General features: G+C 37.5%; 2 annotated features.

Moving 5' to 3' along the window:
- Positions 3647-4138: an origin of replication, noted in NCBI's record as "S14 site of nascent strand synthesis determined by PCR of size-fractionated nascent DNA; promotes replication of a plasmid". NCBI's record gives the evidence for it as "EXISTENCE:fractionation evidence [ECO:0000100][PMID:9356241]" and "EXISTENCE:genetic transformation evidence [ECO:0005027][PMID:8107675]".
- Positions 11498-12697: an enhancer, noted in NCBI's record as "P300/CBP strongly-dependent group 1 enhancer chr8:84457496-84458695 (GRCh37/hg19 assembly coordinates)". NCBI's record gives its function as "activates an origin of replication core promoter dependent on BRD2, BRD4, P300/CBP, MED14 and CDK7 cofactors, with strong dependence on P300/CBP, by STARR-seq in HCT116 cells {active_cell/tissue: HCT116}" and the evidence as "EXISTENCE:reporter gene assay evidence [ECO:0000049][PMID:35650434]".

The following is a 13076-nucleotide window of genomic DNA, read 5'->3' on the forward strand; positions in this document are numbered from 1 at the left end:
CATGTGTTTTTTGGCTGCATAAATGTCTTCTTTTGAGAAGTGTCTGTTCATGTCCTTCGCCCACTTTTTGATGGGGTTGTTTGTTTTTTTCTTGTAAATTTGTTTGAGTTCATTGTAGATTCTGGATATTAGCCCTTTGTCAGATGAGTAGGTTGCGAAAATTTTCTCCCATTTTGTAGGTTGCCTGTTCACTCTGATGGTAGTTTCTTTTGCTGTGCAGAAGCTCTTTAGTGTAATTAGATCCCAGTTGTCAATTTTGTCTTTTGTTGCCTAACGTTTAAATCTTTAATCCATCTTGAATTGATTTTTGTATAAGGTGTAAGGAAGGGATCCAGTTTCAGCTTTCTACATATGGCTAGCCAATTTTCCCAGCACCATTTATTAAATAGGGAATCCTTTCCCCATTGCTTGTTTTTCTCAGGTTTGTCAAAGATCAGATAGTTGTAGGTATGTGGCGTTATTTCTGAGGGCTCTGTTCTGTTCCATTGATCTATATCTCTGTTTTGGTACCAGTACCATGCTGTTTTGGTTACTGTAGCAGAAGGCTTCTTTTTAAGGAGTGGTAACTAAATTGTTCTGATCATCAGATTCTAAGTAAAAACTTGTTCTGCTTCCTATTTATTTACAAGGTAAGTTTATTTACTTTACCAATAATAAATGTTCAAGGAAAATATCCATATATGGTAAGATTCACAATAAGCAAGTCAATGTTAAGGCATACTTCTAATAACTTTTTTGGCAATTTTGATTTTTCTTTACCTATCTCATTTGGGGATTTTTTTTTTTTTTTTCGGAGTCTCGCTCTGTTGCCAGGCTGGAGTGCAGTGGTGCAATCTCTGCTGCAACCTCCGCCTCCCAGGTTCAAGCGATTCTCCTGACTCAGCCTCCCAAGTAGCTGGAATTACAAGTGCACACCACCACGCCCAGCTAATTTTTGTATTTTTAGTAGAGATGGGGTTTCACCATGTTGACCAGGATGGTCTTGAGCTCCTGACCTCGTGATCCACCCCCCTCAGCCTCCCGAAGTGTTGGGATTACAGGCATGAGCCACCGCACCCAGCCTGGTAAAATCCTAGTTCTGGCATTTTGTTTATTGTCACTTATATTTGCATTATTAGTATCATCTTCTATTATGTTTAATTGAAGCTTTTATTACAGGAGTTTTTAACAACTAGTCAATTTTATGAGAAATATTTTAGTTTGCAGTATGCTAAATAATCTTTAAGTCAATTTACTCTCCAATATATCACAACTGTTTTTAAAGAATCAGTTGCTACTAAAAACATACACCTCCCACATTTTTTAGGACTCTCCATATATAATATATTGTTTGTTTTCTTCTGAAATTCAGACCAAGAATGTAGCAACACAGATCCTATCTTTCAAATATTAACAGAAAATAACTTTTTTTTTAACTTAAAAAATATAATTAGATAGTTATGACTCACTGAATTTTTCTGAAATTCCTGGGGTACTTTGTGTATAATTTTAGAGACAACTCTGGAACCAAGACATACTGCTACTGGTTTATTTATTTATTTATTCAATCAATCATTAATTCATTTAACAAATGCTTAAGAACCATCTATGTGACAGGCACTGCTCTAGGCACTATGCATATAACAATGAAAAAACCTGAGACAATGTTTGCTCATGCAGTATTATTTCTAGTTGGGAGGTAAAGATGATAATAAATAGGTGTGTGCAAGTAGATACACATGAACACACACACATAGATAATTATTATCGATACCAAAAGTTCATGGGGAACCATATGTGGGGAAGAGATATTGGGAGTGCCCATGAGTGTGCTATTTACAGAAAGTGGCCATGATGGCTTCCTTGAGTAGGTAAGATTGGAGCAGTTTTCTGAAGTAGGAGAAAGAGAAAAATGACTGGCTCCTTGAAGGGTAAGGAATCCAGGCAAAAGTAACAAAAGCCAAACCTGAATTTTATTTTGCCTGTTCTAGGAAAAGCAAGCATGGTAGTAAGACAAAGCAGAGGAAGAGAGTGGGAGCTACAGGAGATGAGGTGAGAAAATTTGTAGAGAGAGATCCGCAATCAATTGGAAATTACAGGAGATTTTATGGGGTTTGAATTATCTTCTCAGTGAGGTAGGGAGTAACTGGGGGCATTTCAAAAGAGGAGTGAAAAGATCTGTGTTAGATTAAAAAGGATCCCTTTGACTGCTGTGTCGAGACTCATCTGTAGGGAAAAGAGCTAAAGCAGGCCGAGTATTAGGTGGCAAATTATGGTGGCTTGGCTGAGGATAGTAGTGATTCAGGGTGTGAGAATTTTCCAGCTTCAAAAGTAGAGTCAACAGGATTTGCAAATGGCTTTTCTATGGACCACCAAATATAGAGAGAAATCAAAGTATCTCAAGAGAGACTCAAGAAATCAACATCTCTCAAGCTACTTGGCTAGAAATATAAATTTAAAAATGGTTAGTATAAAGATGAAATTTAAAGCCATAATATTAGAGGAGATCACTTGAATAGTGAGTAGAGTTAAGGAAAAGAAAAATATCTAAGAAAGAGCTGTTAGGGAGTCAAATGTTTAGAAACTAAGAAGATGATTAGGAGCCAGCTTTTTCCAGTTCTGTTCTCTTCTGTTTAGAGTTTATACCTTCATCTACTAAAAATGTCGAGTATCAGGAATATCTAATGCTAAATTCTCCCTTCTAGCTTCTATGCTATGTTTCTCCAGACTTTTTGCCCTATTTATCTTTAAAGCTTCACCATTAGGCACTATTATTATTTTAATAGTACTAGTCAAGGTAATAGTAATTTGTGCAGCCAATTATTTTTGGATTTGGATTTCTTATTTGCTCTCCATTTTTTTTCTTTTAGCACATTTTTCTAGGAATTTTTTCTTTCTTCTTGAAATAACATTTTTTACAATTTTTTTTTTTTATTTTCAGTCTTTTGATGGTCACTCAGTGGTTGTTAAGTCAAATACCTTTATTTGGAGTATCCATGTCTACTCTTGATAATCTTCTATTACCTAAATACAGTTGTGATTATATTCTTTATTTCTTTTCAGTTTTCATAGCAGCCACTATAGTATCTTTATCTGAACACTAATGTAATTGCTAATGTAAGCAATCCTTGAGGATCTAATTCTACTGTTAACTGACTCTCTGATTTTTATAATGATGTCATTCTATTAACAAACTATTGGGGTATTCTTGCCACCTTACATTGGAAAAATTTGTTATTTATGGTTACCAGATATCACAGCTGACTAAGCTTTTTATCAGTCTACATCCAGAATCCAGGCCCAATAAAGGATTCCGAGGCTCTGATCATTACATGCTATCTGGGCTTCTATGAACAGAGGTTCTCAAGGGAACCCTGGCCTTCCAGGTTGCCTGCTGCTCCAGCTCCAGTAATCTGTCATTTGTTCTCCTATTTCCTTGGGCAAGTAGCAAGAGAGATTGGTAGACTTTTCTACCTCCTGTGGAAACAACTAAGCTATTCAGGATCAGACTGCCCTAAAGTGATATATTCCCTAGAACACTCAGTCTTCCATAAAGCTGGAAGCAGTACTCTCATTTCTTTTTGTATTCAGTGCACTTTCATGTCAAAAAAGAAAATAGCTCAGCAGAAAAAAGGATGGTCCGTTATAACAGGGGCTTCTGAATTCAGGATCACTCACCAACCCTTCTGAAATTTTTGCTGATCCTTAGTAAAAGATAAATGTAATTTGTTATCCAGCTAAATTTATTAAATTAAATGACAGAGAATTTTTTCTATAATTATTCCTATCGTTTGATATAAAACATATTTTATTAAAAAACATAGTGTGAATAAATAACAGAGTTTTAGTTGTTTTGTGTTGTTTTAAATGATTTGCCCAACTTCCAAAAAATACAATGATATAAACACACATGACTTTTAAAGTACGTTGTGGGCAAAATTTAAAATTTTGGTCCAAATGAAAGTAGTTTGAACTTACGATGTGGCATGTACTAATTATGGTGTAGCATTTGATTCTCTGTGTCAGGGAAAGGGATAAAAAATCTTATTTATAAGTACATAGAAGAAATATAACTTTCTGTTTATTAAAAGCATTTTGAAAAGTTTATAAACAAGTTGGGGAAGTTAAGGTTTATTCACACATTATTAGAAACTCCCACTTTAAAAACTAATTAAACTGTTTTTATTTCTTTTTAGATTAATTTTAAAAAATTTAACCATATACATATACAAAATATCAATAAGAATTCTACCAATAACCAAATTTTCTTAAACCCCGACTCTTAAGTTGTATTTCAGTCTCAACATTAAAGGAATATGTTAATTAAATAAGCTTGGCTCAGTACTGGGAACAAATGCTTCTACTGTGCGTTCATCGTTCTTAGGAATACACTTTGCTCAGATATATATATTCCTATACACTTTGTGTATTTCTAAATGTCTATATTTCTGCATACGTATATGTATAGTTCTGCCCACTATAATGAGCAAATACACTATTATAATGGTTTGTCTTCTTTCTTTAGAATAGAAATGTCCTTCTTACTGAGAGTTTACTATTGGCTATATAAGTAAGGCAAGCATTGTAAATTATCCTTTTCTTAATTAGTAAAATAAAATATTTGTCATTGGGTAGTTATTTGATTAATTGGGTAGTTATCTGATTACTTAAGAAAAAAGCACTATCCTTTATTAATTGTTTGACATGTTTTTGCTGGTATTGTTTTGCTTACTATTTAATATTTTATGTGATAATTTGTCTTAATTCAAGGTGAAACTGCTGTAGTTGTTTCTCTAATTGATAAATAATTGAAATTTTATTCTAGTCAGGTACAAATATCACTATATTGGGAAACTGAAACATAGGCATCAGTATAGCAAGAAACTTGAAATCTATCAATTATCTAAATTTAGATACTTTTCTAGGATAGTGTAGATTGTATATGGCAAATATGGTTTGCAATATATTTCCAGATGAAATATGGAAAGTATTAAAATAAATATGCAAAATGTCAAATGTTGAATTATAAACAATTGAGAGAAATATGTCATTGTATTTCCAAATTGTAGACTCATTAATGTGACTTGCTTTTCTAGTTGTAGTTTGTTGTAGAAGGTCAAAAAACAGGGGATGTAGATAATGAATATATTAAATATATTCCATAAATATATTCATAGAGTTATGAAGTTATAAAGATTTAAGTTTCAATTTTAAAGTATAACATCTGAAATTCTTTGAATCTAATATTTTCAAATACATTTTAAAATAACTTCCAACTTTGTATAATTATGAGCAGAGACATTATTATAGCTTTAATATATTCTAGATAATAGCTTCAGCATAACAGACTTTATAGTGAGTGACATAATATTGTACACATTTATGAAATCAGAAAGAAGAGAGAATTGAAAATATCTAAACTTACAGCAATAGATAAGGGTTCCAGAAGAAAATTAAATATTTCACTAGGCCCAAAAGACTAGATTTCTGCAATGAGCATATTTTTCCTAGTAAATACTTTGTAATGAAAATGTGAGATGTTTGTTTTAATATATCTGTAAAATGTATTCTGCAGAAACATGTGCCTTAAGAAATAAAAATACATGTTAGACACATGGAACAGAGAAACAACATAATCCAAGCTTGTTATAATCTTCCAGAGCCTTCAAAAATAGAGAAATTACATAACTGCTGGATGTGATTGATATTGAGAGCAACTGAATTAGTTTTTCTCCCTGTAATCCATGTTTTTGAAGGATTTGAGTTAAAAATAATATATACATGGGCATTACCAGATAAAAAGATATATTGATTGATACAGAAATGCATGAGAAATAAATACATACATAGATAAAATTCTAAAATAATATATTTGGAAAATCTTTACTGGGTAATTTGACCAGTAAGAATGTAGTAATGTTGAATACTTCAGGTTAATACATTTTGTAACCAACTTACTAAAATGCCATATAGGTAAACAACTGATAGGTATTTATTATTTTCACAGGAATTTAAGTATAAGATAACTATATCAACTAAGCTATTTATCATTTTGAAAATTTTAGAATAGAAAGGAAGAACAGAGATCATTTGACCAATTTTAATCACTTCAATTACTCATACAATTTTTAAAAAATCACATCAATATTCTAAGGTAAAAGCCAATAAGTTATGTTAGAACAGGGTCACAGATTTTTAGAACAGGGTAGAAATTGAATGACTAGTTATCTGTAAGGTCATTATCAAATATAAGCGATGGTGAAGCTTTGAGTAGTTAAAACAATGCCAGTTTGACAATCCAATCCCAATATACTGTGAGTACCTGACATGATGTGCTAGGCATTGATAAAATTGGAGGCAACTGAATAAAAAATCAGGGTCTCAGCCTGTTCACAATATGCTGGAGACAACTGTAAAAGTAGACTCTGAGTCATAATATAATGTTTTAAGTTCTCTCCTTGGAGCATGAACAAAGTCTTTTGGATGAATTGATTCATTGATTCAACAGATATTTATCCATTCCATAACACACGCCTTGTACTTGGCCAGATGCTACAGTTAATTCTGTGAAATGAAAGTAGCTTCTCATGGAAGATGATGTTATGCAAAAGAAGATGATTAGAATTTCATTAGGTAGGAAACTGGGATTGACATATGCTCAGCAGAAGGAAAGGCAGGAGAGAATGGATGTGGAGGTTGGTGAGAAGGCTTAGGAGTATGGCAATCTGGCAATTGGAGATCCTTAGGGAAAACATGCTGTCTGATGTGATTTCCACAGGCAGTTGCAGGAGGGAAGTCTTGGAATTAGGCCTCAAATATTAAAACTTTCCAGTTTAGCTTCTACATGCCTGAAACTCACTGGAATAGTTTACTATAAAAGAGTTACTACAGTAATCTCATATATTCTGAAGGCTCTTGCGATACATTTTATTAAATACTTAAAATTGTATTTTTTATAGAATTAATTCTTAGAAAAACAAAGGAAAAATAGCTTGTAATTTGGACTACTCTTCTACTCTACAACTTCTATCCAGATAATATTCCTATTTTTGCATCTCTTGTGTGTGTGTGTGTGTGTGTGTGTCTGTGTGTGTGTTTGTGGGGGGCATTGGGGTGTGGTTGTGTGCTCTGGCTGGATGTCTGCTATCTATGGAGATAGCCTTATTTATTTTTATGCTAGGCCCAAGCTTTTCAGTCTCAGGCATAAGGTTACATAGCATTTCTATAGCACTGGACACTAGCCAATTCTTTTTCTATAAACCAGCTTAAGAATAAGAATCTTCTTTTAGCTGTATTGTTATTTTATCCTGACACCCATTACCTATCAATACTCTAGGTAATAAGTTCTTAGAAATTGGAGAACATAGTGATATTGAACAGTGTAGTTAAATTTAAAGGGCTTAAATTTAAAACTTGTTCCAGGTTTTGGTATTAGATTCTCATATAAATATAGGCAGTAAAAGCTATCCAGACGCCAAAGATGAACTGATATATAGCTATATTAATATAATGTTGATCCCAAAGAACAAGACACGGTGGATAAATTAAGGTTTTCAATATATACATGTTGCCTTTTGTGTAATTCACTTTGCAACAAAGGTTTGCTTCTTTTGAAGCTTAATAATACTGGTATCAACGAGTTTTTCAATACCAAGGATTTCCTTGAATACTAGCTTCTTAAAAGCTTAAAATAAAAGGGCATACATATCTGCATGTCTTTGTTAGTTTGGTGCTGAAGATCATAGTCCACAAGATACTTTAGAGGAAACACTGTGCAAGAGAACCCACAAGGCTGCTTGTTTTACAAACTGGCAAATACATAATTCATTTTTTTTTCAGACTGAGTTTCCCTCTGTTGCCCAGGCTTGTGTGCAGTGGTGTGATCATAGTTCACTGCAGCCTTGATCACCTGTATTCAAGTAATTTTCTTGCACCTCAGCCTCCTGAGTAACTAGGACTACAAGTATGTGCCACAGATTGGCCACATGTCTGACTAATTTTTTAATTTTCTGGAAAGATGGTGTCTTACTAGGTTGCCAAGTATTTCCTCAAACTCCTGGCCTCAAGCAATTCTCCCATCTTGGCCTCACTATTTTTATTACAGGCATGAGCCATTGCATCCAGCCAATCTACACTTCTGATAGTTCTCTATAATGTTCTTGAGAGCTACTCATAGTCATAGGTTAAACTGATGCTGCTTTCTGAGGGACTCCGTTTTATATGATTGGTTTTGAAAACAAAAAAAAAATAAGTAATTTAACTGCTATATAATAAGAGAGTTAGAAAAATACATGATGCCTTAGGGATTTGATTTCAAATAAATTTTGATGATAGGGCAAGCCTTTCTGAGTATTTTGATCACTTTCTTCCATTGATGTCTTTCATTCATAGAATCATGTGATTGGGAGGCTGAGGTAGGAGGATTGCTTGAGCCCAGGAGGTCTCAGCTGCAGTAGACCATGATCATGCCACTGCTCTCCATCTGGTCAACTGAGTGAGACTCTGTCTCAAAAATAAAATAAAATAACGCAATTGGTTCAATAGAAAAATCGGAAGTACTTGCACTACATAAAAATAACTTCAGAAAGTGAAAAGGGCTTAAGAAATAATTTATGTAAACCTCTCAGAAAAGTTGTGGTGAAAATGACAGATCAAAAAAAGGATGTAACGTAGATCTCACAATTATTAGCATACCAAAACTTAAAGTGTATAGGCTCAATCCCCTCTATTCCACGTGGATTCTCTAATAGCCTGTAGCATGTACATGACTCTTGCAAACGTGAAGCTTGTAAATCTCAGAAGCTTATTACTAGTTAAACTCTAAACTATATATGAATTGATGGTTAAAATCATGTCAAATATTTAACATAACTTATTTTGTAAATAAGATTAAAAGTTTATAGTAACTGGAAAAGAGCAATGTAGTAAATATTTTATTTTTTTAAATTTACCATCTCAAGATTATAAGCCATAGTGTTCTCAATAAATTTTTTGAGCTGTGCTGAAGGATGATAAACAATAACAATTAATAATGAGAAGCTCCTAAGCAATCTTTGTTCTTATTTCCTTTATAATTTTCTTAACTATTTATGGTTAAAATATTTGCATGATACGAACATTAACATTTTTTTCCAAGATGACAGATTAGAGGCTTTATAGCATGCCCCAGCCACTTGGAAATAGCAAACACAGTGCATAAAAATCAACTTGATTAGCCTTAATTCCAGAAGGAAAATAAGAACTAATTGAAATAGTGAGGGCCAACCCAGAGCCCGGGGAGGAGAAGGTGGGCAAGCAGCTCCCTTGCCTGATAAAAGTGAGTGAAGCCCAGTACACAAGAGGGGTGGTCAGTCACCCTCTGTGCCTCACCTTTCCACTAAGGATCTGTGCCACCCAGGCCAAGGAAGAGCACCTTCTTTCTCCTAAGCCCTGGAGCTAACTTGGGGAGCAGCTGAGAGATAGAAAAAGGAAAAGACATGGGTAAAGCTGCAGGCATTCTCCCAGGCCCAAGACTGAGAGGAGAATGCCATTTTTAATCTCAGCTCATACAAGCTCAGTCATTGTTTGGTGGCCAGCAATTGCAGAGAGTGCCCCAGAGAACACATTAGAATTAGGCCTTTTCCCATTGCAGAACTGGAGCAAGAAGAGAGTTGCTGAGGCCAAGGTTTCACCTGGGCAGCAAGGCTTGGAGCCAGGGAGAGCTTTGAGACCTGGAGCTGGTCTGGTCTGTGTGGCATTGCTGGGTTCCGCAGCCTGCTCCCTCAGTCAGTTGGGGAGGAATGCCGCACCAGCTCCAAGGAATGGGAAAGAGGTGGACCCCACTCCCCTGGAGATCTAACCTTCAAAGCAGACCACCTCTAAGGAAGGAGGGAGCACAGCCCACCCAAAGCTCCCTCCGGATCAAAGGAAATGTGAATATGGTGCCAGCTGCTGAAGGGGACATCAACAAAGCCTGGGAACATACTTGGAAAGTGTCAGCTTCTGAGCCCAAGCTAAGCCATCATAACCCCTGTGACCTGCACATATACATCCAGATGGCCTGAAGCAACTGAAGAACCAAAAAAGAAGTGAAATAGTCAGTTCCTGCCTTAACTGATGGCATTCCACTATTGTGATTTGTTCCTGCCCCACCCTAACTGATCAATTGACCTTGTGACATTCCTTCTCTTGGACAATGAGTCTCAGGAGCTCCCCATCGAGCACCTTGTGGCCCCTGCCCCTGCCTGCAAGAGAAAAAACCCCTTTGACTGTAATTTTCCACTACCTACTGAAATCCTATAAAACTGCCCCACCCCTATCTCCCTTTGCTCACTCCTTTTTCGGACTCAGTCCGCCTGGACCCAGGAGATTAAAAAGCTTTATTGCTCACACAAAGCCTGTTTGGTGGTCTCTTCACATGGACATACATAACATTTGGTGCCAAAGTCCTGGCACAGGGGGACTCCTTCAGGAGGCCGGCCCCCTGTCTTCGCCCTCACTCTGTGAGGAGATCCACCTACGACCTCAGGTCTTCAGACCAGCCCAAGAAACATCTCACCAATTTCAAATAAGGTAAGCGGTCTCTTCAATCTCTTCTCCAGCCTCTTTCACTACCCTTTAATCTCCCCGTCCTTTCAATTCCAGTTCTTTTACCTCTCTAGTAGAGACAAAAGAGACACATTTTATCCCTGAACTCAAAAACTCTGATGTCGGTCATGGATTTGGGAAGACAGTCTTCCCTTGGTTTCTGATCACTGCTGGTATGCCTGCCTTGGTCAGTCACCAACATTCCCTTGGTGGCAAGTCAATTGTGGGGATGCCTGCTTTGGCTGCTCACCCACATTGCAGCCCAGGGCTGCTCACCCTCACCCCCTTCTCTGTGTCTCTACCTTTCTCTTTAAACTTACCTCCTTCACTATGGGCAAACTTTTGCCCTCCATTCCCCCTTCTTCTCCCTTAGCCTGTATTCTTAAAAACCTAAAATCCCTTCAACTAACAGCTGATCTAAAACCTAAACATCTTTTTTCTCCTGTAATACTGCTTGGCCCCAGTACAAACTCGACAATTTTTTCAAGTGACCAGAGAATGGCACGTTTGATTTGTCCATCCTACAAGATCTAGATAATTTTTGTTGTAAAATGGGCAAATGGTCTGAGGTGCATGATGTCCTGGCATTCTTTACACATCAGTCCCCCACTAGTCTCTGTTCCCACTGTGACTCATCCCAAATCTTCCTTCTTTCTCTCCTATCTGTTCCTTCAGTCTCCACTCCAAGCTCTGAGTCCTTTGAATCCTCCTTTTCTATGGACCCATCTGACCTCTCCCCTCCTCCCCAGACTGCTCCTCACAAGGCTGAGCTATGTCCCAATTATTCCTCAGCCTCCACTCCCCCACCCTATAATCCTTCTATCACCTCCCCTTCTCACACCCGGTCTGGCTTACAGTTTCGTTCCGCAACCTGCTCTCCCCAACCTGCCCAACAATTTCCTCTTAGAGAGGCGGCTGGAGCTAAAGGCAAAGTCAAGGTTAATGCTCCTTTTTTCTTTATCCAACCTTTCCCAAATCGGTTAGGATTTTCATCAAATATAAAAACCCAGCCCCGTCCATGGCCCGTTTGGCAACAACACTTAGACGCTTTATCACCCTAGATCTAGAGGTGCCAGAAGGCAGTCTTATTCTTAATATGCATTTTATTATAAATAAAGTTTATATATATACATTTATTTTAAATAAAGTTTCAGTGTGACAAAAGAAGTAGCACTGGAATATAAAATTTTCTTTTTAATTCTCAGCAAGGCAAGTTACTTCTATAGAAGGGTGCACCCTTACAGATGAAGCAATGGTGAGTGAATACTTGGACAAGGGAGGGGAGGGGGTTATTATCCCTGACGCATGTGGCCCCTGCTGCTGTCTAGTTCTGCTACTGGCTAGGGTTAGACCGCACAGGCTAAACTAATTCCAATTGGTTAATTTAAAGAGAGAGATGGGGTGAGTGGTTTGGCAGGAAAAATGATTATGCAGGTTGGAGAATGAGTCAGGATGGAGCAGGTAGCAGGTAATTGGAATGAGTCAGGGTGGGGCAGGTGATTCAAATGAGTCAGGGTGGAGCCAGTGATTGAATTGAGTCATGGTGGAGCAGGTAATCGAAAAAGGTTGCTTTATGAGGAAGTTAAGTTTAAAAGTACAAGGCAAAGATTTGAACATACTGACATATTGATTCTTTGAAATGAAATTTAGAACTCATATCTGACATTACCCAATCCACTCCCGACATTAGAAAAAGCTCCAAAAGTTATATTCTGGCCCTCAAACTCCACAACAGGACTTAATTAAACTTGCCTTCAAGGTATACAATAATAGAGAAGAGGCAGTGAAGCGGCAACATATTTCTGAGTTGAAATTACTTGCCTCCGCTGTGAGAGAAACCCCAGCCACATCTCCAGCACACAAGAACTTCAGAATGCCTAAACCGCAGCAGCCAGGTGTTCCTCCAGGGCCTCCTCCCCCAGGATCTTGCTTCAAGTGCCAGAAATCTGGCCACTAGGCCAAGGAATGCCTGCAGCCCATGATTCTTCCTAAGTCGTGTCCCATCTGGGCGGGACGCCACTGGAAATTGGATGGTCCAACTTGTCTGGCAGCCACTCCCAGAGCCCCTGGAACTCTGGCCCAAGGCTCTCTGATTGACTCCTTCCCAGATCTTCTTGGCTTAGCAGCTGAAGACTGATGCAGCCCAATTGCCTTGGAAGCACCCTGGACCACTATAGATGCTTCAGTGGAGGGTAAGTCCATCCCCTTCTTAATCCATACAGAGGCTACCCCCTACACATTACCTTCTTTTCAAGAGCCGGTTTCCCTTGCCTCCATAACTGTTGTGGGTATTGACAGCCAGGCTTCTAAACCTCTTAAAACTCCACAACTCTGGTGCCAACTTGGACATATTCTTTTATGCACTCTTTGTTAGTTGTCCCCACCTGCCCAGCTCCCATATTAGGTCCAGACATTTTAACTAAATTATCTGCTTCCCTGACTATTCCTGGGCTACAGCCACACCTCATTGCCACCCTTTTCCCCAGTTCAAAGTCTCCTTCGCATCCTCCCATTGTGTCTCCCTACATTAA

The sequence above is a fragment of the Homo sapiens genome, chromosome 8 (assembly GCF_000001405.40).
Source record: "Homo sapiens chromosome 8, GRCh38.p14 Primary Assembly".
NCBI lineage: Eukaryota > Metazoa > Chordata > Mammalia > Primates > Hominidae > Homo > Homo sapiens.